This window comes from Homo sapiens, chromosome 10 (genome assembly GCF_000001405.40).
Source record: "Homo sapiens chromosome 10, GRCh38.p14 Primary Assembly".
Taxonomy (NCBI): Eukaryota; Metazoa; Chordata; class Mammalia; order Primates; family Hominidae; genus Homo; species Homo sapiens.
Genome location: NC_000010.11, coordinates 73683743 through 73709383, shown reverse-complemented (window position 1 = coordinate 73709383; position 25641 = coordinate 73683743). Strand labels below are relative to the sequence as shown.

Below are 25641 nucleotides of genomic sequence, written 5' to 3'. Positions count from 1 at the left end.
TGGGAGATCGAGGTGGGTGGATCACCTGAGGTCAGGAGTTTGAGACCAGCTTGGCCAACATGGTGAAACCCCGTCTCTACTAAAAATACAAAAATTAGCTGGGCATGTGTTGCACGCCCGTAATCTTAGCTACCCGGGAAACTGAGTCAGGAGAATTGCTGGAACCTGGGAGGCGGAGGCTGCAGTGAGCCGAGATCACACCAGTGCACTCCAGCCTGGGTGACAGAGCGAGACTCTGTTCTTCCCCCCACCCCCAAAAAAAAAAAAAAAACACAGAAAGGGATAATTGGCCGGGCACAGTGGCTCACGCCTGTAATCCCAGCACTTTGGGAGGCCAAGGTGGACAGATCACCTGAGACCAGGAGTTCAAGACCAGCCTGACCAACATGGAGAAACCCTGCCTCTACTAAAAATGCAAAAATTAGCCTGGCATGGTGGCACATGCCTGTAATCCCAGCTTCTCAGGAGGCTGAGGCAGGAGAATTGCTTGACTCTGGGAGGTGGAGGTTGCTGTGAACCAAGATTGCACCATTGCACTCCAGCCTGGGCAACAACAGCAAAACTCTGTCTCAAAAAAAAAAAAAAAAAAAAAAAGATTTATAACTGGGCAGTGGAATTGAAAATCATTTTTAAAAATATCCAAAATACCTAAGGAACTTGTATAAATAAATAGGAAAAAAAAAAGAGAAAAACGTCAAGAAGCCCACAAAAAAGCAGATTTGTAAATGGGCAATGGATTTGAATAGACATTTAGCCAAAGAAGACATCCAGTTGGTGAAAAGGCATATGGAAAGGTGCTCAGCATCACTGATTATCAGGAAAATGAAAATCAAAACCACCACAAGTGCTTTAGACCATAGCGGCATGCATGAAAGTTTTCAGGCCTCCAGTTGTTGGGAGTGGCTGAGGAGATTGGGGAGCTTCTGTCTGAGCTGGAAGAGTGGAGTCTCAACAAGAACCAGTGTATTCTGGACATGTGTGGGCCCTGGAGTGTGCATGGCTGGATGCCTTGTCTACCTGTGCCTTACAGAGTGACACCATTGTGGTGTGGTCGATCAGAGGGCCAAGTGGCTTTCAGAGGGAGTGGGAAGTGGTGGGGGTTGGTTTGTTTGCCCATGGATGAAAGCAAAAGTGAGTTGGCTTCCCAAGAACTTTTCCCAGTAGCCTGTTTTGCTACAATTCTAGACCCAGACTGGGGTCCCAAGGCATGATAGCCCACAGCTTCTTAGCAAGTGCATGTTCAGTTGGATCCCCCAGCTCAGCCTGGGTCATCCCCACCTTCTGCCTCTTGGGCCATAGCTCAGCTCTGCACACTGAGCCATCATCCTATGGTGAGCAAGACCCCATTCTTGGGCTTCAGTCTCTTTCCTTGCAGCAGGCAATCAAGGTGGTGGCTGGAAAGGGCCAAGGAGCCACATCTCACAGTGCCCTGCTGCCTGAACAAGGACCAGAGGCCTGTGGAACACATGGCTCTCAGATTTCTCCCATTTGATGACTCATCAGCTGCCCCCACATGGCTTTCTAGCTCACAGCAGATCTAGCCTTCTCTGAGCAGTGAAGATGGGATGTTTTGTGGTCCTTTTCCCTGGTGTGCAGAGCCCAAGTGGAGTTCTTCAGCACACCCTAGTCCATCCCCTCACTAACACACCCACCTGTCCAGTCTTACCTGCCTTCATATCAAAAGCACACAGTTAACCCAGAGGGCTTCTGCCCTGCCCTGCCTGACTTTCTGGGAAACCCCCCTCTCCACCCACCCTAATCAGGACACTGTCTGAAGGTTCCCCCTCATCATTTTAAAAGGAAGAGAAATTTTCTGCCACAGAGGTTCTGGTGAAGTGGCCTGCTCCCACATCACAGGGTGATGGCGGTTTGGGCTGGACCAGGATCAGACAGTGCTGTCCTGAGGCTGGCCGTCTGATAAGGGGCTCCAGAAAGGGCAGTGGTGGAGCCCTGGGAGGCTTTCTGCTCTCCTGATCGCAGGTTTTTGGTGAGAGGACCTATTGGCCACTAGGGTGTCTGTGTGTGTGTGTGTGTGTGTGTGTGTGTGTGTGATGTGTGTTTACTTGGATTGACTTCTTTCAGCATGAAGCCCACTGTTTTGCTGAATGTATCTCACTGTTTCCTGAAACTCAGTACATTCAGCTGGCTTAAGGGTCCTGGGGCCTCGCTGCGTCATATTTGCACAAGCCTAGTGTCTGTGCAGACTGTACACTGGAGTTCAGTTGTAAGACCCTTTTGATCCCTTATTCTGTTCCTGTAATAGAAAAGCCATTTCACTCAATGGAATAGAAACCCAGATCCGATGGAGAGATGTTCTAATCTGCCATACACTGGGGCAGTGGCCAGTGATTTGGACTTTGTGGCATAGATGGAAATTTCCAGGTTGTCTAGGTGGTAGACAGAGGCCTCACTTCTTAACAAACTCCCCCACTCCACCCCTGCCAATGAGGATGTTGCTTAGAGGTATTTCTATCAGTGTTGAGTAGAAGAGATCATTTCTTGATGTTGAACTTCAGGTAAGGATGCCAGCTTCTGCATATCAGGGTGGTGATGCTTGGGCTGAGACAGGTCTAGACAGCACTGTCTGAAAGGGGGCTCAAGGAAGTAGCTGTGAAAGGCCCCTGGGATGTTTTCTGCTCCCCTTTCTGCAAATTCCCTGGAGGGAGATCCTGTTAGTCACTACAGGGTGTGTGTGTGGGTGTGTGTGTGTGTGTGTGTGTGTGTGTGTGTGTTCATCACTTGTTGCTTGGGGGTGGGAAGAGACAACAAAAGCCTACAGAATCTATAGTTCTCAGTTCATCTCCCATCCTAGTCCAATCATGGCCTAACATCCTTAGCTACTGATCGCAGAGGAGACTCTGCGCATTTGTGTTCATGTGGCCTTGGATGTTGGCAGATTCAGATTGGTGCCCCAGGCATCTGTGCCTGTAACTGCAGTTTCAGCGGGCTCAGGACCAGGCTGAAGGGCCTCCAAGCTTCCTCCAGTTTCCTGGTGCATGCATGTGCAATATACTCCCCTGGCCTTGGTCTTTCCTAACGCTTCTTGCCAGTTGGGTCAGAACTAGCTTATTAACCAGTTTTTTCTGAGCTTTAATCGAACTGGCTCCAACCAGTTGGAGACTTGAAAAGGGCTACGTGATAGTTATAGATTTTTAAAGATATATTATTATTTTAGAGTAGTTTTGAGTGCACAGCAAAATGGAGTGCAGAGTCCAGAGATCTCATATGGCCTCGATTCCTGTACACTCTCAGGTCACTCCACCAACAACCTCCTACACCAGAGCCACTTTGAAACATTAGAAAATATATTTGAGCATTCAGAAATGTATAAACTAGGCAGCTCCAGACTGCAAGCAGCTCAGAGTTCCAACAGAGAGGCTTAGGGAGGGTGGGGGAAGAATTTTATATGGTGAATGTGGAAGAAAAAATACTTGATTGGGTAAAGTGGAGCAGTGGCCTCATTTGGAACATTACAGTGGAAAGTCTCTAGTTAGATATTAGTTGGTGGTTTCTGACTGGTTAAGCTTAAGTTTCCTTTTATTATTTACACTGAGTCAAGTTTTGGTTTATTTAAGGAGGAATTGAGTGCACTGCAGCCACCTCAGCCTCATGGCCACCTGTTTATTTGATTATTTTTAAAAGAGAAGAGCCTTTTAAAAATATCTGTTGCCCTGGCTGGAGTGCAGTGACGTGATCATGGCTCACTGCAGCCACAACCTTCCAGCTCAGGTGATCCTCCCACCTCAGTGCTCCCCACCCTGAGTAGCTGGGACTACAAGCATGTGCCAGCACACCACCATGCTAGGCTAATGGTTTGTATTTTTTTGAGAGATGCAGTTTCCCTAAGTTGCTTAGGCTTCTTTTGAACTCTTAGACTCAAATAATCTGCCTGCATTGGCCTCCCCAAGTGCTGGAATTACAGGCCATCTAAATCTTTTATCTCAGATTTGCCTTGTGACAAATGGAGGGGTACTTTTTCTGACATGATGAGGCAGAGAAAGGTGAGGTGGGCGCATCCTGTGCATATGATTTTCTCAGGTGATGGGAATATGGTCGGCTCTTGCCTAATGGGATATATTTTCTCTTTGAATGATTTGGCAAGATATCAGATGAGAGAAGTTGAATAAATGTTAGAAGAACATAGAAAAAATAGGTTATACACGTTGGGTTTCTGAAGAAATGATGTCTTTGGAGAAACAAAACTTTTATTGATTTCTGGAAACATTTAGGGCCAATTTTTTATGTAAATAATTTGAATTTATGATGATATCTCTGACCACTTTTTGATATTTTTTTCTGGTTCAGGTGAGTGGTGTCATTGAGCAAACACGAAGTCGGGCTCATCCAAGGATGAGATTTTGCCAGAGAAAGGACGAGCAGCAAGTCAGGGAGCTTAAGGTAATTATGGGAAAGTGACTATCTACAATTGCTTAGGTAGAAGGAGACAGATTGGATTTTTGTGTGTTTGGTATTTGGGATAAGAGGGATGTGGGTGTGTACTTGACATGGGTTGTTCTCTCTCTCTCTTTTTTTTTTTTTTTTTTTTGAGAGGGAGTCTCACTCTGTCACCCAGGCTGGAGTTCTGTGGCACAGTCTTGGCTCACTGCAACCTCCGCCTGCCGGGTTCAAGGGATTCTCCTGCCTCAGCCTCCCAAGTAGCTGGGGTTACAGGTGCCTGCCACCACGCCCTGCTAATTTTTGTGATTTTTTTTTTAGTAGAGACGAGGTTTCACTATGTAGGCAAAGCTGGTCTCGAACTCCTGACCTCAGATGATCCACCCGCCTCAGCCTCCCAAAGTGCTGGGATTACAGGCGTGAGCCACCGCACCTGGCCTGTTTATTCTCTTAAGAGAGAAAATGAGGGGATTAATGGACTGTAGTTCTGGACAAGGTGGAAAACTCTTAAAGTGGAAGTATTGGGGCAAGTGCTCTGACAGGCTAGGATGGTGCAGTCAGTCCCTTCACCCAGAAATCAGTAGAATGTTAACAGTTCAGACTCAAACCTTGTGAAAAACAGGTGGTGGAAAGGAAATCCCTCACAGCAACTGGCACCATAATCAAGACAGAATGTTTGCAGAATAAATGGAGTTACCTGCTTTCAGCCCCAGGTTGTAGCTATTGTCTGCCCTGATGATATGTGATAATAATTTGTGATCCTATTGTCTTAAAATGGGGTCACTCATCTCCAGTAGAATTAAGTCCACAGTGAAGTTGTCCCCCCATCCCCAAAGAGATAAACATATATGAATGAACTCACATGATAACAACTACTGCTGCCTGGGATCATGAGAGACCTGAACTGAACTGATAGGAAGTGAAAGGTGGCTGAGATAATGAGAATAGACCCATCTGCAGAGGATCATAAAACCAGCAAAGACAAGATCTTGTCTAAGATGCCTTCACAAACTTTGTCCATGAGAACTCTAAGGACTTCTCCAGACCTGTTGGCTGCTGCTGTGATCTCTGCCCAAGAGGAGCCTCTGACCAACATCCAAAGGGCTTCTGGACCCACTGGACTCCTCTGGAGGTACCTTGGTCTCCCGATCCATGGCTGTGGTTTTTTACTCCGTTTATCACTCCTGTGTGTAGAATGATAATTGCACAATTGATAGTGTGAACACCTCTTGATAAATGGTAAATCTGAGCATATGTATTTGGCTGACATGTCATTGTGAAACCTCACAGCTTCAGTCAGTGTCAGCACAGCTAGGGAGCATGTACCTAATGCACATATCACTGGGCATAGTCTACAGGCACCTAATAACTCAGGTACCTTAACAGTCACTAATGAGTGTCTCTCCAAGGTCAAAACAATGGAAGACTGTAGAAGATGCTATTCATTAAGATATCTCAAGAATGTGGAAGACTATTATTCGCTTCTCATGGGACAGGACTTTATAGGGCACCTGAAAAAACTCCCATGAAAAATCACTTTTACAAAATGTCAAGTTATGATATCCAAGATGAAACCAATGAGTCACAACATTCACATAATACACTGTACAACCCTGATCTCTTGACTGTCATCAAATGTTTCTTACCTCTAAACCAAAGTTTCATTTTATAATTTAATTTTTCTCATTTTTTCTGTTCTCTTAGCTTAAGAAAAGATCATTACAAACTTTTTGTATGTTTTTCATATATGCTTGCAAAGGGTTGTAAAACTTTATTGTGATTATTCTTGCTTTAAGCTGAAACTTCCCTAATCTTTCTTTAGAGATTGTGGCATAGCATGTTAGTTTCTTTTCCATATCCAATTGTTTTCTGTAATGAATACAGAAATATGGGCACTATTTTGTAACTTTAAATAGACATCATCTCAAGTCTACAAGAATTATCCAAAATGGTATTTAATGACATTTCTAGGTCTTCAGACACTATTAATGTAGATTGTAGCCTCTAGGTCCTGAGGATTTTTACTGGATACTGGTTACTGAAACTGAGCTTTCTTGAATTCTTTTTCCTTCCACTGTGGTTTCCCGCATTTCAACACATCACCTATTTTTGTCCTCAAACGTTACTTAAATTTTTTCCACAGAATTAAATTAAATATGAATCATCCCTCCTCTGATTTTTGAAATGACCCTTTGCTTCCTATGATAATGATTCTTCTGGTCCGTTTTGTAGTTATATGTTAGAGTTTGTAAATATTCACACATTTTGCAACTGCATATAATTTTCTCATTTTTTCCTCTTCCTCTAAAGCTGCTGTTATTTCTTTTAACTTTTTGTGGGAAAAATTAAACCCATCTTTCACTTTGTTGATATTTATAATTGAACTCCTTGATTTTTGCTTGAATTGCTTTTCAAGTTACCCACTTTTAGGGAAGACATTATTTGGGTTTTGTTTAGTGTATCAGGCTTTTTTTAGTTAGTTGTATCAAGAAGTGTAGACTTTTCTATACATAATATCCTTTTTCCCACAGTAGTTTTTTTTTTTTTAAAGTCTAGCCGGGTGCAGTGGCTCACGCCTGTAATCCCAGACTTTGGGAGGCCGAGGTGGGCAGATCACGAAGTCAAGAGACCGAGAACATCCTGGCTAACACAGTGAAACCCCGTCTCTACTAAAAATACAAAAAATTAGCCGGACATGGTAACGGGTGCCTGTAGTCCCAGCTAATCAGGAGGCTGAGGCAGGAGAATGACATGAACTCAGGAGGCAGAGGTTGCAGTGAGCCGAGATCGTGCCACTGCACTCCAGCCTGGGTGACAGAGCAAGACTCCATCTCAAAAAAAAAAAAAAAAAAAAAGTCTGTTAAAATAAAGGTCATCAAAAGATCTTTTCCTAAACCTTTCCTTTACCAGAAATATCTCTAGAGTCACATGGTCCTTTCTCCCTTCTTGCTTTTGTAGGAGTCCAAAGCTAATCTGTCCCTGATCCGGATTGCATGCACCTGTGCCTTTTGGGGCCCTTCTGCATTAGTTCTTCCTTCTCTTCTAACCTCAAAAATGTGTTTTCTCTGTTGGCTCTTTCCCTTTAACATAGAAGTATACTCACGCTTTTGTTGAATCTTGGAATAAAAGTCTTCCTTTACCACATATCTCCCTTTAATACTACATCTCTCTTCTCAGCCAAATACTTGGGAAGACAAGCCCTGAGTTTGTGTGATTGTTTTCTCACCTCCAGTTCACTACTTTGAACAGGCACTGTGCTAGGTGCTGCTGTTATAGATATGAAAAGAAGGCATCATCTCCTTTCTAACAACTCATAGGAGCAGCCATTCCTGATTCATACGCAGGTCTCTTGATTCTCAGTGCTCACTTTTGCAAGCTTCACTTAATGCCGTGTAAATCACCCTATTCTCCAGGTCTTCTTTCTTCCCAGTTCTCCTTACTATACACAACTTCTCAAGGCAGTCACCTCCACGCCCATGGCTTCAATTGCTTTCTCCATTCTCTGAGAACAATAGAATTTTAAATGTTTTTTTTTCATGTATTAGTTTTATTTTATACAAGGTGTCTCACTTGCTGTAACCATAGATTCAAAGTTGCTCCATGAAACTAATAAATGAAAAATGGTGATTTTTTAGCATGTAAATTTTAGGAAATTTCCCCAGTTACACTTAATGGCTTGATTTAGTATGTTATTTTTGAAAACATATGTTGGGATGTCACAAATGGACTTAGCCTACAGAGATTTATATTCAACTTTTGACCAGAGAGTTCCATTTTAATGTGACACTGAGAGTAAAAAACTATCTTTTCCTCCTTACCTATTTCTCTTCCTACATTCTCGGCCAGGAGGAAGGCACTGCTACATACCCAGTCTTCCCCAGCAGAGCCTGAGCAGCTCTGTTTTCCTTCTACTTCCCCTCTTCTTTCACATCTCATGACCAAGCACTTCCTATTCTGTCTCCCAAATGATCACAGATTTTTTCCTCCACTTTTGTCACTGCCACTGCCCTTAGCATTACTCTGCCTTTAGAGAAAGTCTCTTAATTGGTTTGGTTGCTTCCTTCAGTCCTTATTATACAGACCACTACACACACATCTGACAGAGACTTTTCACCTTTTTATGGTTCAATGACTGAAATTCCCAGAATAAAATTAAAACCACCCCAGCATCAAATTTGAGGTCAAATAGAGGTGGATTTGTATCCCAGGTTCATATACTATCCAGCAGTATGGTCTCAGAAAACTGACCTCCTTAAGCCTTTGTTTGTGTATCTGCCTACACTCATTGAGAGTTGGGACTATTTCACACATACAGTGCCTGGCATGTAGAAGGGACTTAATCAATGTTGAAAGAAGGGGAGGCATTTTAAAATCCACATCAAAAAAATGTTGTTCTGTTCGGGAGTGGTGGCTCATGCCTGCAATCCCAGCACTTTGGGAGGCCAAGGCAGGTGGATCACCTGAGGTCAGGAGTTCGAGATCAACCTGAGCAACATGGTGAAACCCCATCTCTACTAAAAATACAAACATTAGCTGAGCATGGGGGCGGGATCCTGTAATCTCAGCTACTTGGGAGGCTTAGGCACTTGAATGAGAATCACTTGGACCCAGGAGGTGGAGGTTGCAGTGGGCAATGATTGTGCCACTGCCTGGGCAACAGAGTGAGACTCTGTCTCAAAAAAAAAAAAAAAAAAGTAAAAAAAATTCTTTTAAAAATATACGAATCTGGCTGGGCACGGTGGCTCATGCCTGTAGTCCTAGCACTTTGGGAGGCTGAGGCAGGCCATGACCAACATGGAGAAACCCCGTCTCTACTAAAAATACAAAATTAGCCGGGCATGGTGACGCATGCCTGCAATCCCAGCTACTTGGGAGGCTGACGCAGGAGAATCGCTTGAGCCCGGGAGGCGGAGGTTGCAGTGAGCCAAGATCACGCCATTGCACTCCAGCCTGGGCAACAGGAGCGAAACTCCGTCTCAAAAAAAAAAAAAAAAAAAATAGTGTTCAGCAAGGTTGAAGCATAAAACGTTAATAGCCAGAATCATTTATCAATTGTATTTCTATACATCTACAAGACACAATCTGAAAATGAAATTAGAGAAACAATTTCACTGGGCAACAAGAGCAAAACTTCATCTCAAAATAATAATAATAATAATAATAATCTACAATGTCATTTCCCATCCAAGCTTGACTTCTACCTTTACTTTCTGATGTGGTTTTGCCATGTCCCCACCCAAATCTCATCATGAATTATAATCCCCATAATCCTGATGTGTTGAGGGAGGGGCCTAGGGGGAGGTGATCAGATCACGGGGGCAGTTATCCTCATGCTGTTCTTGTGATATTCAGTAAGTCCTCATGAGATCTTATAGGGTTTTGTTTTGTTTTGTTTTTTAGGATGGAGTCTTGCTCTGTTGTCCAGGCAGGAGTGCCATGGCACGATCTTGGCTCACTGCAGTCTCTGCCTCTTGAGTTCCAGTAATTCTCCTGCCTCAGCCTCCTGAGTAGCTGGGATTACAGGCATGCACCACCACACCCAGCTAATTTTTGTATTTTTAGTAGAGACAGGATTTCACTACATTAGCTAGGCTGGTCTCAAACTCCTGACCTCAGTTGATCCACCTGCCTTGGCCTCCCAAAGTACTAGGGTTACAAGTGTGAGCCACCATGCCCAGCTGAGATCTGATGGTTTTATACATGTTTGACAGTTGCTCCTTCACATGTTGCCACTCTCTGTGCGGCCACCATGTAAGTCGGACCTGCCCTTCTGCCATGATTGTAAGTTTCCTGAGGCCTCCCCAGCCATGTGAAACTGAGTCAATTAAACCTCTTCCCTTTAAAAATTACCCAACCTCAGGTATTTCTTTATATCAGTGTGAAAACAGATTGCTATACTTTCTGATAATCATGCTTAAGCAATTGGGGAATTCAGACTACCTGGGATCAAACCAGGGCCCCACCCTTAGCAGTCATGTGACCTTGGGGAGGTTACTTACCTTCTCCGTCTCAACAACTTCTGTAAAATCTGTAACATGAGATTGTTTCTGAGGGTTAAATGAGCATAGCACAGTGGGGACACTGTCAGGCACACACTACTTGCCAGATGTCAAGTATTCATCTTTATTGAAATAGGACTGTGGTAAGCCACTTTATGGCTCTCGATTCTGTATGAGAAAATCATGCTTAGTGCCTTGTTAGTAAAAGAAAGAAAATCTGAAAGTCCCTGCCATGGAAGGAAGAAATAGCGGGGAGAAAAGGGAGTTGGTAAGTTTCAGCATTTCAGAGCTTGGAGGGACAAGTTAGGTTTCTATTTTATGGAGAAGGAGGTGGAGGCAGGATGGGTCCTAAGGTGTCATTCAAAACACACAGCCATAACTCTTTATTGAGAGTAGAGCTAGGGCCGCAGGGATTGCTGTGGTCACGTTGCGGACAAAAATGACCACTCGTTGGAAGACAGGAGAGGAGTGTTTAGTTACAAAAGCAGTCAACAATTCAGGTGTATCTATATTCAGTCAGCAAATAAAAGTTGTTCAACTTGGTTGCTAATGGGACCCACTCTACTGAGGCTTTGTATAGAACTCATAGAGGAAGATGGCTTCAAGCAATGAACTACCCTGTGCTTTTCTTAGGACTAAAATCTCAGGAAGTTGGTGATGAATGAAAACCTTAGTCCCACTGGCACTGCACGAGGGGCCAGGAGAGCAGCAGCATCATAAGCCACAGGGTGGGGCAGCCAAGGCAGGGGCATTCTGAGCTGTTGGGGAGGGGTGGCAGGCAGGGTGGGGCACTGTGAGGTGTCGGGGAGGGCATTGTGAAGTGTGGGGTGGGGCATTCTGTGCCACATGCCTGGGCTCCCACCTGGGGCCAGTGGGCTTCAGTCTGTAGGTGACTACAGAAGGAGGAGGAGCTCCGTCTGTTCTCTCTTCAGGCAGTTGTTGTGTCTCTCAGCGCTTGTTGGGTTCACAACCTATTAAATAAGCCAGCTGGTCTTCACCCTCCCAGACAAGTCAACTCAGGGGAGGCAGCAGGGTGTGGGCCTTGACCCGCAGCCCTAGCCGGGGCCGGGGCCGGGGCCAGGGATGGTGCCCGGGGCCGCGCTGTGAGGTGGGCAGGCGAGGAGCGGGAAGACCATCTCTGCAAGTGCAGCATAGCCTCGGCCTAGGACAGTGGGAGTGTGTGGCCAAAGCTGTGAGCAGAGGCACAGGTGGTGGCAGACAGTAGAGGCGCCCCATGGGGAACATACTGACCTGTTGTGTGCACCCTAGCGTCAGCCTCGAGTTTGACCAGCAACAGGGGTCGGTGTGTCCCTCTGAATCTGAGATCTATGAGGCAGGAGCTGGGGACAGGATGGCAGGAGCGCCCATGGCTGCTGCTGTGCAGCCTGCTGAGGTGACCGTTGAAGTTGGTGAGGACCTCCACATGCACCACATTCGTGACCAGGAGATGCCTGAAGGTAAGGAGGTGATAGGTGCCATCTACCCTCGGTTTGCCTCTGGCTGCTGCTGTCCCCAAGGTTCCCTTTACGGCATCCCCCACTTTGAGCTCCTTTCTGCTTGTAGCCAGCTTTCCCGGGGGCTGGCCAGGAACAAAAGCTGGCTCTGCCTTGAATTCCCACCCCTTAGTCTTTCCTCACCGAGTCCAGTCAGTTTCTTTTCGCCTCCCCTCCCAATCGCCCAGTTCTTGCTCTCTCATCTCATTCTCCCAGGCTGGCATGGGACCATTTATTTATGGCTCTTGTCAAATAAGCAGCAGTTGAATAAATGAGTTGATAAATTTTTATAAATGATTACATCTTTTTTCTTTTCTCCCTCTATACATATAGCTTTGGAGTTTAGCCTTTCTGCCAATCCAGAGGCAAGCACAATATTCCAGAGGAACTCTCAAACAGATGGTGAGACAACAGTGTCTGTAGCTCTGTTTATTATCCTGTGGGACTTTGTTTAGGCTTCTTTGAGCTATTCTCTTCCTTTTCTCAATAAAAACTCAAATATCCCAACTTTTCAGTACCCATCTTATTTTTTCTTTGTACCTATCCAGATGGTACCTAAGTGAAGGAACCAGGTAAGTGCCTAATTGTTTCCTTTGTTAAAGTAGCCAAATCTCAGGACAGTTCCTATTCAAATATTTGGGGGTTTCTTATTTAAAATCAGAATGGAGGTTGCCACGGGAGAGGCTATATGGTATTCTTAATGGGCTGCTTTAAGTCACCTTGATAGAAGCTGCTTAGTTTCTTCTAACTGTAATTTGAACACAGAAGGAAAAAGAAAAAAGAGTGCTTAAAATAATTGTGAAAGGTGTGAAATGTCACAGCCGGGGCTGCAGAAAAATGGTTGTGTGTGTGTGTTTGGGGTTTCTCAAAGGAGTTTACCTATGAGGCTCTGATTACTTTAAAATTCTTACTTTAACAGAAAATGTGTCTCCAGATTTATGCTGGTGACTTAACAGACTTTATTTACCTCCTTGTTCTAAAAGAGAGGTGGGGATTGGTTCATGGTCAACACTTTCAAAAGACATGAAATGTCAATGTAGACTTTTAATATGTAATATAAAGATTGCAGGTTAAAATGTCAGACCTTCCCTGTAAGAGTGTTTGTTGCCGTGGCTCCCCCTTTGTCCCTTCCCCTCCTGACAATAGCATCTTGTTCAAAGATAAGAAAGTTACAGTTTTGGCTGGGCTTGGTGGCTCACGCCTGTAATCCCAGCACTTTGGGAGGCCGTGGCAGGCAGATCACCTGAGGTCAGGAGTTCGAGACCAGCCTGGCCAACATGGTGAAACGCTGTCTCTACTAAAAAAAAAATACAAAAATTAGCTGGGTGTAGTGGCGCATGACTGTAGTTCCACCTACTCACAAGGCTGAGGCAGGAGAATTGCCTGGACCTGGGAGGTGGAGGTTGCAGTGAGCAGAGATCACGCCAATGCACTCCAGCCTGGGTGACAGAGCGAGACTCCGTCTCACAAAAAAAAAAAAGGAAAGAAAGTTGGAGTTTTTTAGTCTCTACACTGCTGGCAGAGGCAGGGGATGGGAGCTGGTAGAAAAGAGAAAACAATTAGTTGGTTTGCCTCTAAAATTTTGCAAAGAGATGAATCTAAGTAAAAGTAATTCTGGGTAATAATATGGTTCTTGAATAAAAACTGAAATTTTCAAAATAGAAAACATTGCATCATAAACATATTAAATCCAGTTGGCTTATTGGTTTCATTTAAATGCCAGAGATTTCATTACTGTAGAGGAAATGTCTTATAGCTCTTCTATTTAAACTTTGGTTGGGCTCTTAATTTTTAAAGAGGTAGGATAATTAAGACTCATTATGAGTGTGACTTTGTAACTTGGAAGTACTATCTTCACATTTCAAGATATTTAAGGATTGCTTTAGAATAAACAAATGTATTATGTGAATTAATTGATTGTACCTTTATACACAAAGCACATAAGTACTTGTGTAAACTTATACTCTGCTTGGTGATGTTAGGAAAGCCTGATGGATGTTACACACCAGTTAGTAGATGGGTAGTGTTGGATGAGAGCCCAAAAATGGCTCTTTATTGTCATTCTTTAGGATTACAACACAGTTTATGTAGTCTCACTTGGCCCTTTCCAATACAAATAAGGCCTGTGTATGTTCTCCCTATGTATTGCTAATGAAGAAATGAAAACTTAGAGATATCACATGACTATGGAAGACAGCTACTCAAGAGAACTAAGGTTCTGTGTCCTCAGAATGAAATGGAAGTGACAGATATGATGAATTTACTTTTTAAAAATTTTAAAAACTCTAGAATACATCTTATATTTTGCCTGTAAAATAGACCTGTCTTTTAAAACTTACTGCCATCTTGATTTATTTTATGCAAAGTTGATTTTACACAACTCAAAGCCAAAATTTACCTCTTCATTTTTTTTTTTTTTTTAAATAAAGGAGGGTGTCATTGTGTTACTCGTGCTGGCCTCAACTTCCTGACCTGGGTTCAAGTGATTTTCCCATCTCAGCCTCCTGAGTAGCTGGGACTACAAGCATGTGCCATCTTGCCTGGCTCTATCTTATGTCTATACATTCATTTCAATGTATAAGAATCAAAGTAGAGATAGTGAAATAGCCTAAATGCAGCAGTTGAATAAACGAGTTGATAAATTTTTATCAATGATTACATCTTTTTTTCTTTTCTTCCTCTATGCATATAGCTTTGGAGTTTAACCCTTCTGCCAATCCAGAGGCAAGCACAATATTCCAGAGGAACTCTCAAACAGATGGTGAGACAACATTGTTTTTTCCGCCAAGAGAAAGAATAAAAGCTCTTGTTTGATCAGGTTATAGAAAGTATTTAGAAAAACTCATATTGGTTTAAATTTTTCACCCTTTCACATGTTCACTTGTCTTATTTTAATATGTGATATACTTTCCTTTAGTTGTTATGATGTTAGTGAAAACGTGTAACCTTTTTGTTTATACATTTTGCCATCTTTTTATCAACACAATTAATTTGTCATGTGATGGAGGAGTCATGGATTTCTCTTTATAATTTTTGGATTTATCTTTATTTATAATTAATGGATTTATCTTTATTTATAATCCCTTTTCCCTTGCTCCAAAAAGTACACTTTAAAGATGAATGATAGAACTTAGGCTTCAGCTTGGTTTTCATTTAAACAAATTAAAAAACATAGTTGTTTATCATCAGGGATTGAATCTGTGATTTGGGCCTCCTCTTACGCAGACCTCTGACCACATTCATTTACCACATCCAAGTTTATGCTACTCAAAAGTTTTAGGTTATTAACTTTTTCATTTGATGTAATGTAAATTTAAACATGCCCTACTCCTGCTTATTTCCCTTAATGTTATGTTAAATCCTCATTTATTTGCCAACAAGCCATACACAGCCAAGTTTTCCAGTTGACTTAAACAGCAAGAATACAAGTGAGGGTTCTATAATAATATGCGAAGTAATGCAGCACAGTAAAACACGGGAGTTTGTAACCTTTGTTTTTATAGTTTGAGTAGACTTTGCCCATCTTGAGTCAGTTATTTCTGGTTAGAATTTGTCTTCATTTTTTACATTACTATAAAGAGATACCTAAGGCTGGGTAATTTATAACAAAAAGAGGTTTAATTGGCTCAAAGATTTTCAGGCTGTACAAACATGGCTTTAACACCTACTTCTGGTGAGGGCCTCAGCAAACTTACAATCATGATAAAAGGCAAAGGGGAAGCAGGTGGTTCCACACAGTGAAAGAGGGAGGAGAGAGGGGAAGGGGGAAGGTACCACACTCTTTTTTTTTTTTTTTTTGAAATGGAGTCTCACTCTGTTGCCCAGGCTGGAGTGCAGTGGCATGATCTTGGCTCACTACAACCTCCATCTCCCAGGTTCAAGCAATTCTCCTGCCTCAGCCTCCCGAGTAGTTGGGACTATAGGTGGGCACAATAACACCTGGCTAATTTCTGTATTTTTGGTAGAGACAGGGTTTCACCCATGTTGGCCAGGCTGGTCTGAAACTCCTGACCTCAAGTGATCTACCCGCTTCAGCCTCCCAAAGTGCTAGCATTACAGGCTTCAGCCACCGCACCTGGCCAGTACCACAGTCTTTTAAATTACCATAATAAGAATTTGCTTTTTACCATGGGGATGGGACCAAGCCATTCATAAGGAATCCACTGCCATTACCCAAACACCTCCCACTAGGCCCTATCTCCAACATTAAGGGTCACATGTTAACATGAGACTTGGAGGGGCAACATATCCAAAACATATGAGAATTGTATTTCCCAGTTCCTTCCGGAGCCATGGGCTTCTCACACCTAGAGAGCATGGAAGCAGTAAAAGAAAAGCTATTCCATGTCCCTCACTCTTCAGTGGTAGGAACTTTTGCCTACAAGGCCCTTCCAGCATCAAAGGCAGAGGCAGTGTGGGAAACAAAGCATGGCCCAAGTCCCTCTTGGGGCTTTTATTATTCTGGCCTCTTTTTAGGGAAAAAAAATGATTTTTTGTGCTGCAGACACCATGTCCAATTAGGTTTGTATACTCATTTTAACATCAAAATTTAGGCCAGGCTCTGTGGCTTACACCTGTAATCCCAGCTCTTTGGGAGGCTGAGGTGGGTGGATCACGAGGTTAGGAGATCAAGACCATCCTGGCTAACACAGTGTAACCCTGTCTCTACTAAAAATACAAAAAAAAATTAGCTAGGCATGGTGGCACGTGCCTGTAGTCCCAGCTAGTCAGGAGGCTAAGGCTGAAGAATTGCTTGAACCTAGGAGGCAGAGGTTGCAGTGAGCTGAGATCCCGCCACTGCACTCGAGCCTAGGTGACAGAGTGAGACTCTATCTCAAAAAAAAAAAAAAAAAAAAAAAAAAATTTAAGATAGGTTACTTTCCAGTTGTGTAAAGACCGTTTTTTAATTTTGTTTTGTTTTTAGTGACATATTAGTAGATAACCACTAAGTGTGGTTCAAGATGCTTACAGGGATTATGTTGCATCTAGAGATAGGTGTCTGGTCAGGAAGTAGTTGTTAGAGTTGTTAGCTCTTAGAGTCTGATAATTAAAGTAAGCTATGTGTAAATGCAGAATTAGAGAATACTAATGGATCATGGCTCATATATGCAACAGTTAAACTTTTTATTAGCTAAATTTTTCATCTGGCCTAATTTTTTTGCCCTTTTCTTTTGTACATGAGGATTCTTTCATTTGTATGTAATAGAAACAAAAAGTAAACTAAATGAAAAACTAAGTTTTTAGATTTGACTTATGAAATTAATCATGCCAGATAATTTAAATTATAAATTATTGAAAATTATTTTTTTAAATGGAATTTTGTCTCATTTTACATAGGAGTAATCAGTAAGATGTTAACAACTACTTTTATTTTATGGTATTTGTATCAGAAGTGACCAGTTTTTTTTTTTATTCTTAGTTGTAGAAATAAGAAGAAGCAACTGTACAAACCATGTAAGTAAACACTCAAATAGTTAAGAAATTGATAGTTTGACATAAAAGGATGTCTCTCTTGATTTCTTTAAATTACAATGTGGACCTGGTGGTGGTAGCATGGACCTCTTTTTGTGGATTTTCTAAATCTCTTCTATTTTCCTGAGTATTAAATTTATCCAGAAAAGTGTTTAGCTTAGCGTGTCCACCTTTTAAAGATTTCTGACATTTAAGTTAAATTTCAATAGTCTGGTTCAAAAGATCTGCCTTAAGGCTGGGCATGGTGGCTAACGTCTATAATCACAGCACTTTAGGAGGCCGAGGCAGGCTGATCATCTGAGGTCAGGAGTTTGAGACGACCCTGACCAACATGGTGAAATTCTGTATCTACTAAAAATACAAAAGTAGCCGGGCGTGGTGGTGCATGCCTGTAATCTCAGCTGTTCAGGAGGCTGAGGCAGGAGAATCACTTGAACCCAGGAGGCGGAGGTTGCAGTGAGCCAAGATCGCGCCATTGCACTCCAGCCTGGGCAACAGAGCGAAACTCCGTCTCAAAAAAAAAAAAAAAAAAGTGCCTTAAATATTTAATCTTATTTTTAATGAAAGAACAAAAATAGAATAGCTAAGTTAATTGCCAGCACTGTCTATTGACTTTCTATCACAGCAGGTAAAAGCATACCTTCCCCGCTACACCATGATCTTATGTTTCTCCCTGTGTTTCTTCCAATTGTAGCACACTTTTTAATTAAATCAGTAATATTTACATGATTATGACTCTGCAAATATTATTCACTGCTAAGTCATATGGTGTTTTCACTGTGCCTCTGCATTACATGTCCTTCATCCTGTCTCTGAAACAGTTCTGAAATCTGAGCACTTCTGCAATTCTTCTGGATCTTCTTTTTTCCTAGCCTACGTTAGTTTATCTATCCAAATATCGTTAAGTAGCCTCTGGGTGCTCTGTTTGCTTTCACATCCATTATTTTTTAGCATGAAGCTAATTTTCTGACTATATTCATTTGCCTGTTTTCTAACAGCTGTTTTTCCCCCAAGTATTGTAGCATTTATCACATGCCTTTCAAAGATATTTTCCATCTGCGAAAACACACCTGTTGCTTTTTATGTTTGTTTGGGGGGCAACTTTCTTTGGCCTTTTGTCATCCTAGTTCAATATAGCGTGGGTTTCCCTAGATATGCTTGATGTCTGCTTTTCTGGGCTAACTCCTTAAAGTCTTTTGGGATCTCACGTAACTGCTGTCTTGTGTGGGATCGCCTGTGTCCTAGATTCTGTGTTTCCTTCTGTCCTGTTATGGTCTCTAGTTGTACTTGAACACATTTTCCTGGGTGGAGATGTTAAAATCCCTCCTCTTTGATAGAGAGTACACCTCTAGGTTGAATCTAAATTTTATGGTTCTGAAGACATTTTGCAGTTGTGCTCTTTTTTTTTTTTTTTTTTTAATTGATCATTCTTGGGTGTTTCTCGCAGAGGGGGATTTGGCAGGGTCACAGGACAATAGTGGAGGGAAGGTCAGCAGATAAACAAGTGAACAAAGGTCTCTGGTTTTCCTAGGCAGAGGACCCTGCGGCCTTCCGCAGTGTTTGTGTCCCTGGGTACTTCAGATTAGGGAGTGGTGATGACTCTTAAGGAGCATGCTGCCTTCAAGCATCTGTTTAACAAAGCACATCTTGGCACCGCCCTTAATCCATTCAACCCTGAGTGGATACAGCACATGTTTCAGAGAGCACAGGGTTGGGGGTAAGGTCACAGATCAACAGGATCCCAAGGCAGAAGAACTTTTCTTAGTACAGAACAAAATGAAAAGTCTCCCATGTCTACCTCTTTCTACACAGACACGGCAACCATCCGATTTCTCAATCTTTTCCCTACCTTTCCCCACTTTCTATTCCACAAAACCGCCATTGTCATCATGGCCCGTTCTCAATGAGCTGATGGGTACACCTCCCAGACGGGGTGGTGGCCGGGAAGAGGGGCTCCTCACTTCCCAGTAGGGGCGGCCAGGCAGAGGGGCCCCTCACCTCCCGGACAGGGCGGCTGGCCAGGCGGGGGGCTGACCCCCCACCTCCCTCCCAGACGGGGCGGCTGGCCGGGCAGAGGGGCTCCTCACTTCCCAGTAGGGGCGGCCGGGCAGAGGCGCCCCTCACCTCCCGGACGGGGCGGCTGGCCGGGCGGGGGGCTGACCCCCCCCACCTCCCTCCTGGATGGGGTGGCTGCCAGGCGGAGACGCTCCTCACTTCCCAGACAGGGTGGCTGCCGGGCGGAGGGGCTCCTCACTTCTCAGACGGGGGCGCTGCCAGGCGGAGGGGCTCCTCACTTCTCAGACGGGGCGGTTGCCAGGCAGAGGGTCTCCTCACTTCTCAGACGGGGCGGCCGGGCAGAGACGCTCCTCACATCCTGGACGGGGCGGCAGGGCAGAGGCGCTCCCCACATCTCAGATGATGGGTGGCCGGGCAGAGACTCTCCTCACTTCCTAGATGGGATGGCGGCCGGGAAGAGGCGCTCCTCACTTCCTAGTTGGGATGGCGGCCGGGCAGAGACGCTCCTCACTTTCCAGACTGGGCAGCCAGGCAGAGGGGCTCCTCACATCCCAGACGATGGGGCGGCCAGGCAGAGACGCTCCTCACTTCCCAGACGGGGTGGCGGCTGGGCAGAGGCTGCAATCTCAGCACTTTGGGAGGCCAAGGCAGGCTGCTGGAAGGTGGAGGTTGTAGCGAGCCGAGATCACGCCACTGCACTCCAGCCTGGGCACCATTGAGCACTGAGTGAACGAGACTCCGTCTGCAATCCCGGCACCTCGGGAGGCCGAGGCTGGCGGATCACTCTCAGTTAGGAGCTGGAGACCAGCCCGGCCAACAGAGCGAAACCCCGTCTCCACCAAAAAAATACGAACACCAGTCAGGCGTGGCGGCGCGCGCCTGCAATCGCAGGCACTCGGCAGGCTGAAGCAGGAGAATCAGGCAGGGAGGTTGCAGTGAGCCGAGATGGCAGCAGTACGGTCCAGCTTCGGCTGGGCATCAGAGGGAGACTGTGGGGAGAGGCGGAGGCGGAGGCGGAGGCGGCAGAGGCAGAGGCAGCAGAGGCAGAGGAGACAGAGGAGGCAGAGGAGGCAGAGGCAGAGGCAGTTGTGCTCTTATTACAGTGTTGTTCTTGAATCTATTGCCAGTGTGTGATACGTTATTTACAACCAGGTTTTAGTTATCTGCGGAAGCTTTTTAGAATCTCTCTCTCTAAGGTTCTGAAATTTTATAACAGCTTGTTGGGGATCTTTTCATTTTATTGAGGCTACTAAACCTGCAGACTATCTCTTCTTGAGAATTTTTTTTTATTTTCTCTGTTACTTTTTTACTGATAGTCTTGTTATTCAGATGCTAGGCTGCTTAGACCAGTACACCTGCATTGATTTTTAATTTTTCCCCTTCTATTTTTTTCAGTTTGTCTTTTTATTCTAGTTCTGGGATATTCTGTGACTTTATCCTCTACTATTTCTATTGAATTTTATATTTTTTGAGAGTGTTTTAAGGTTTTTTTTTTAAGTTTTGCTCCTGATTTTGACTGGTCCTATCAATTCCTTTTTTCTATTGTTTTGATCTCTTTTCTTGGAGGCTTCCCTCCAATGTGTGGTGGTCCCTGGCCTGCTTTATTTGGAAGCAGGATTTCTGTTAACTGATAGCACTCAGTGTGAGGCCTTAGAAGCCTGACTAGCTTTTCATTTGGGAGACCTCAGTGTATTATTTGGGGATCTTTATTGAAGACATTTCAGTTTCTTCTGAGAAGGATCTCCCAATTTTCTGCCTGGAAAGTAAAAGCAGGCCTGGAAAGTAAAAGCAGAGTTAGCGCAGAAAGTTGGAGTTCCATTTTTGGTGTACAGTTTTCTTTATATCTCAGGTTTAAGCCATGGTGTCTCTGAGCCAGAAATTCTCAGGTTTGATATATCCAGAGAACACACATCTAAGTTTCTTGTCAGATGGAAGGACAGGTGGACTTGAGGCTCTAGTTAGAGATTTGCAACTGACCTTGCTGGCTTTTTTTTTTTACATTTTACCCTGCTTTCCAAAGTGCCATTTGCCTGTAAGTTCACAACCTGCCTTTAGTTCTGCAAGACAAACTGGCTTGCTTCTGTTCCAGTCACTTTCTGTAGGCACCAAAGTTGTGTTTCTGTGTTATTTACCACTCCTTTATCTACTTTTATGTCTCAGCATTTATTAAAAATTATCTCTGTCAACCTTCTGTGCTGGTCATGGGTGTAACCTTTATTTTATGACTAATGAGGTTTCCGGAGGGAGATGAAATAAATTTGTGGTCAATCTATTATATTTAATCCAAATTTAGGACCTATGTTTAAATCAAAGTCTAATTTGAGTATAATTAATGATATTAAGGCAGAGAACTTTTTAAATTAATGTATGTATAATAAGCATATTACACTTTTCTCCTAAGGCCTTGTTTAATATTTTCATTCAAAGTTTATCCACTGCCATATACTTCCCATTACTTCACAACATATATGGAGCTGTTTTCCTGAATGCCCAAAGTGTTAGAAATATTTAAGTTAATTAAGATTTGTTCATTTTTAGCCTGGTCAACATAGCAAGACCTCATGTCTACAAAAAGGTTAAATAACAAATTAGCCAGGCCTGGTGGTATGCGCCTTTCATATTACCTACTCAGGAGGCTGAGGCAGAGGATCGCTTGAGCTCAGGAGTTTGAGGCTGCAGTTAACTATAATTGCACCACTGCACTCCAGCCTGGGCAACAAAGGGAGACCCTGTCTCGGAAAAAGGAAAAAAGTTACTAATTCTTTAAAAACATATATAAAATTTGTCCTGCCCAAAAGGAGAGTGAAAAATATAAACTTTAGTCTTTGTTTTATTTTATGTTTGCTGAGAAAAATGCTGTACTTTATTTATTTATTTATTATTTCCATAGGTTTCTGGGGGAACAGGTGGCATTTGGTGACATGACTAAGTTCTTTAGTGATGATTTGTGAGATTTAGGTGCACCCATCACCTGAGCAGTATCCGCTGAACCCAATTTGTAGTCTTTTATCCCTCACCCTCCTCCCAGCCTTTCCCCCAAGTCCCCAAAGTCCATTGTATCATTCTTATGGCTTTGCATCCTCATAGCTTAGCTCCCACATCTGAAAGAGAACATGATATTTGGTTTTCCATGCCGAGTTATTTCACTTAGAATAATAGTCTTACTTCCATCGAGGTTGCTGGGAATGCCATTAATTTATTCCTTATTATGGCTGAGGTGGTATTCCTCATATATATATATGTATGTATATCACAGTTTCTTTATCCGCTCATTGATTGATGGGCATTTGGGCTGGTTCCATATTTTTGTAATTGTAATTTGTTTGAGTTCCTCATAGATTCTGGATAATAGCCCTTTGTCAGATGTATAGACTGTGAAGATTTCCTCCCACTCTGTGGTTGTCTGTATACTCTGCTGATTGTTCCTCTTCCTGTGCAGAAGCTCTTTAGTTGAGTCTCACCTATTTGTTTCTGTTGCATTTGCTTTTGTGTTCTTGGTCATGAAGTCTTTGCCTAAGCCAGTGTCTAGACGGGTTTTTCCAATGTTATCTTCTAGAACTTTTATGGTTTCAGGTCATAGATTTATGTCCTTGATCCATCTTGAGTTGATTTTTGTGTAAGATGAGAGTTGAGGATCCAGTTTCATTCTCCCGCATGTGGCTTGCCAATTATCCCAGCACCATTTGTTGAATAGGGTTTACTTTCTTCACTTTATGTTTTAGGTGGCTTTGTTGAAAATCAGTTGGCTATAGGTATTTGAGTTTATTTCTAGGTTCTCTATTCTGTTCCATTGGTGTATGTGCCTATTTTTATATCAGTACCGTGCTATTTTGGCGACTATGGCCTTATAGTATAGTTTGAAATCAGGTAATGTCATGCCTCCAGATTTGTTGTTTTTGCTTAGTTTTGTTTTGGCTATGCCAGTTCTTGTTTGGTCCATATAAATTTCAGGATTGTTTTTTCTAGTTCTGTGAAGAAGGATGGTGGTATTTTGATGGGAGTTGCATTGAATTTATAGATTGCTTTTGGCAGTATGGTCATTTTCACAATATTCATTCTACCCATTCATGAGCATGGGGTGTCTTTCCATTTGTTTGTGTCCATGACTTCATTCAGCAATGTTTTGTAGTTCCCAACGGCATATCAAAAAGATAATCTGGCCAGGCACGGTGGCTCACACCTGTAATCCCAGCACTTTGGGAGGCTAAGGCGGACGGATCATGAGGTCAGGAGTTCGAGACCAGCCAGGCCAACATGGTGAAACCCCATCTCTACTAAAAATACAAAAGTTAGCCGGGCGTGGTGGTGCTCACCTGTAATCCCATCTACTCTGGTGGCTGAGGCAGGAGAATCGCTTGAACCTCGGAGGCAGAGGTTGCAGTGAGCCAAGATCACCACACTGCATACTCCAGCCTGGGCAACAGAGCGAGACTCCATCTCAAAAAAAAAAAAAAAGATAATCCACCATGATCAAATGGGTTTCATACCAGGGATGCAGGGATGGATTAACATACACAAGTCAATAAATGTGATACACCACATAAACAGAATTAAAAACAAAAAATCACATGATCATCTTAACAGATGCAGAGAAAGCATTTGACAAAATGCAGCATCCTTTTATGATTAAAACCCTCAGCAAAATCAGCATACAAGGGTCATAGCTCAATGTAATAAAAGCCATCTATGACAAACCCACAACCAACATAATACTGAAAGGGGGAAAAGTTGAAAGCATTCCCCCCGAGAACTGGAACAAGACAAGGATGCCCACTCTCACCACTTGTATTCAACATACTACTGGAAGGCCTAGCCAGAGCAATCACACAAGAGAAAACAATAAAAGGCATGCAGATCAGTAAAGAGGAAGTCAAACTGTTGCTGTTTGATGATGATATGATCATATACCTAGGAAACCCTAAAGACTCCTCCAAAAAGCTCCTAGAACCGATAAATGAATTCAGCAAAGTTTCAGGAGACAAAATTAATGTACACAAATCAGTAGCTCTGTTATACCCCAGAAGCGACCAAGCTTAGAATCAAACCAAGAACTCAACCCCTTTTCTGATAGCTGCAAAAATAAACTAAAATAAAATAAAATACTTCGGAATAGACCTAACCAAGGAGGTGAAAGATGTCTACAAGGAAAACAACTTTAGTATTTTTAATGGGTTAAAATGAGAGGCAGCAGGTACAGCAGAAGTCAGTGCGTGGGCATCCGCATCCAATGGGTACTGCACCTTTGATGGTAAGGCTTTGGTTTTGACTTACTAAATTACTAGGTACGATTATTTTCTAGTTTTTGTCATTAAACCTTAAAACTACTAAGTAACCCCTTCCATTTCTTGTTAAATATTGTAAAATTTCATACTCTCATTTATGCTGACTGACGTTAGATTATTTGTTTCTATTTTGTGACTACCTTAAATAATACCTATAAAGAGTAAACTGTTAGTAGTGTTTTTGCTGTAATTAAATGTAGTAAGACTTACCTTCCAAATGATAACTGAATTGTCAAACACTTGTCGAAGTTTTGGATTTACTCAAAATTCTATGCTCAGCAGCTGGAGGTAGGAAGAGTAAGGGCCCTCCCTTACTCTTATGGAGAGGCATACTTTCTCATGAGGGGAATACTCTGCAGGAATTAGCATCTTGTAAGCAGTGGTGAATTCAACTAATTAGTGTATAAAAATACATTTTTTGGTGTGGCTGCCGACAAAGAGATCCAAGAGGGTAGATGGAGTCGAGCTTGCTGAAGCAAGGAAAGAGAAAAGCAGTATTCTAGGCAGAGAGCAGGGGTAGAGCAGGAAAATGGCTAGGTGCAGGTCAGATGATTTATAGAATGCAATTGATCAAGTTTTGAAGTGAATGCAAAGTATTCTCCGAGAGTCTCATTTGAGTCATGTCTTGGCAGTCTTATTTAAACATGAAGTGAAAGTTAGATTTTTTAAGTTGTCATTTGTTTTTAGGGTGTGAGAGAATATTTAAGTGATACTCTTTTTATCCTCCACATAAGAAAATAGGACTAGAGAAACCTATGGCTTCCTCACTTGTTGGTGGCCTAGCAGCCCTGGCACACAGAGCCCCTGAATCTGAAGCACTTCTTTTGTAACAATATCACCTGAAATAATACATTTAGGATTAGTAATTTAGTAAATGCATTAGTCTTGTATTCACTGCAATAAAATGCTCTTGTAGCAGGATTATTTAATACACTACATTTTATCGTAGTAAATAAATAATAGAAGGGCTGGGCGCCGTGGCTC

The 25641-nt window shown here is 42.9% G+C and overlaps 1 protein-coding gene and 3 pseudogenes across 5 annotated transcripts in view, besides 1 other annotated feature; 3 read left to right on the top strand and 1 right to left on the bottom strand.

Annotated features, from left to right (window-relative positions):
* Positions 1–10233, top strand: part of BMS1P4 (BMS1 pseudogene 4) — a 31364-nt pseudogene extending 21131 nt beyond the window's left edge. The window contains exons 11-12 of the transcript NR_026592.2: positions 4306–4398; positions 9796–10233. The product of NR_026592.2 is annotated as a BMS1 pseudogene 4 (transcript). The remainder of the gene's footprint in view (positions 1–4305; positions 4399–9795) is intronic.
* Positions 1–25641, top strand: part of BMS1P4-AGAP5 (BMS1P4-AGAP5 readthrough) — a 56232-nt pseudogene that overhangs the window by 21123 nt on the left and 9468 nt on the right. For 2 of the 3 annotated variants that reach the window (NR_160425.1, NR_160427.1), the window contains 5 exons: positions 4306–4398; positions 11664–11851; positions 12221–12289; positions 14580–14648; positions 17307–17341. The product of NR_160425.1 is annotated as a BMS1P4-AGAP5 readthrough, transcript variant 1 (transcript). Of the gene's footprint in view, positions 1–4305; positions 4399–4719; positions 5528–11663; positions 11852–12220; positions 12290–14579; positions 14649–17306; positions 17342–25641 lie in introns of all 3 variants that reach the window. The other variant, NR_160426.1, reaches the window with a different exon arrangement.
* Positions 869–1122: a silencer, noted in NCBI's record as "fragment chr10:75468020-75468273 (GRCh37/hg19 assembly coordinates)". NCBI's record gives its function as "represses an EF-1alpha promoter that drives an FKBP-Casp9 reporter gene in an ReSE screen in phorbol 12-myristate 13-acetate-treated (for megakaryocytic differentiation) K562 erythroleukemia cells {active_cell/tissue: K562(+PMA)}" and the evidence as "EXISTENCE:reporter gene assay evidence [ECO:0000049][PMID:32094911]".
* On the bottom strand, positions 2771–2894 carry RNA5SP320 (RNA, 5S ribosomal pseudogene 320; annotated as a pseudogene).
* The window catches only part of AGAP5 (ArfGAP with GTPase domain, ankyrin repeat and PH domain 5), a 23815-nt gene continuing 9448 nt past the window's right edge, over positions 11275–25641 (top strand). The window contains exons 1-4 of the mRNA NM_001144000.4: positions 11275–11851; positions 12221–12289; positions 14580–14648; positions 17307–17341. Of these exons, the coding sequence (NP_001137472.1) occupies positions 11629–11851; positions 12221–12289; positions 14580–14648; positions 17307–17341 (396 nt within the window). The 5' untranslated portion in view covers positions 11275–11628. The remainder of the gene's footprint in view (positions 11852–12220; positions 12290–14579; positions 14649–17306; positions 17342–25641) is intronic.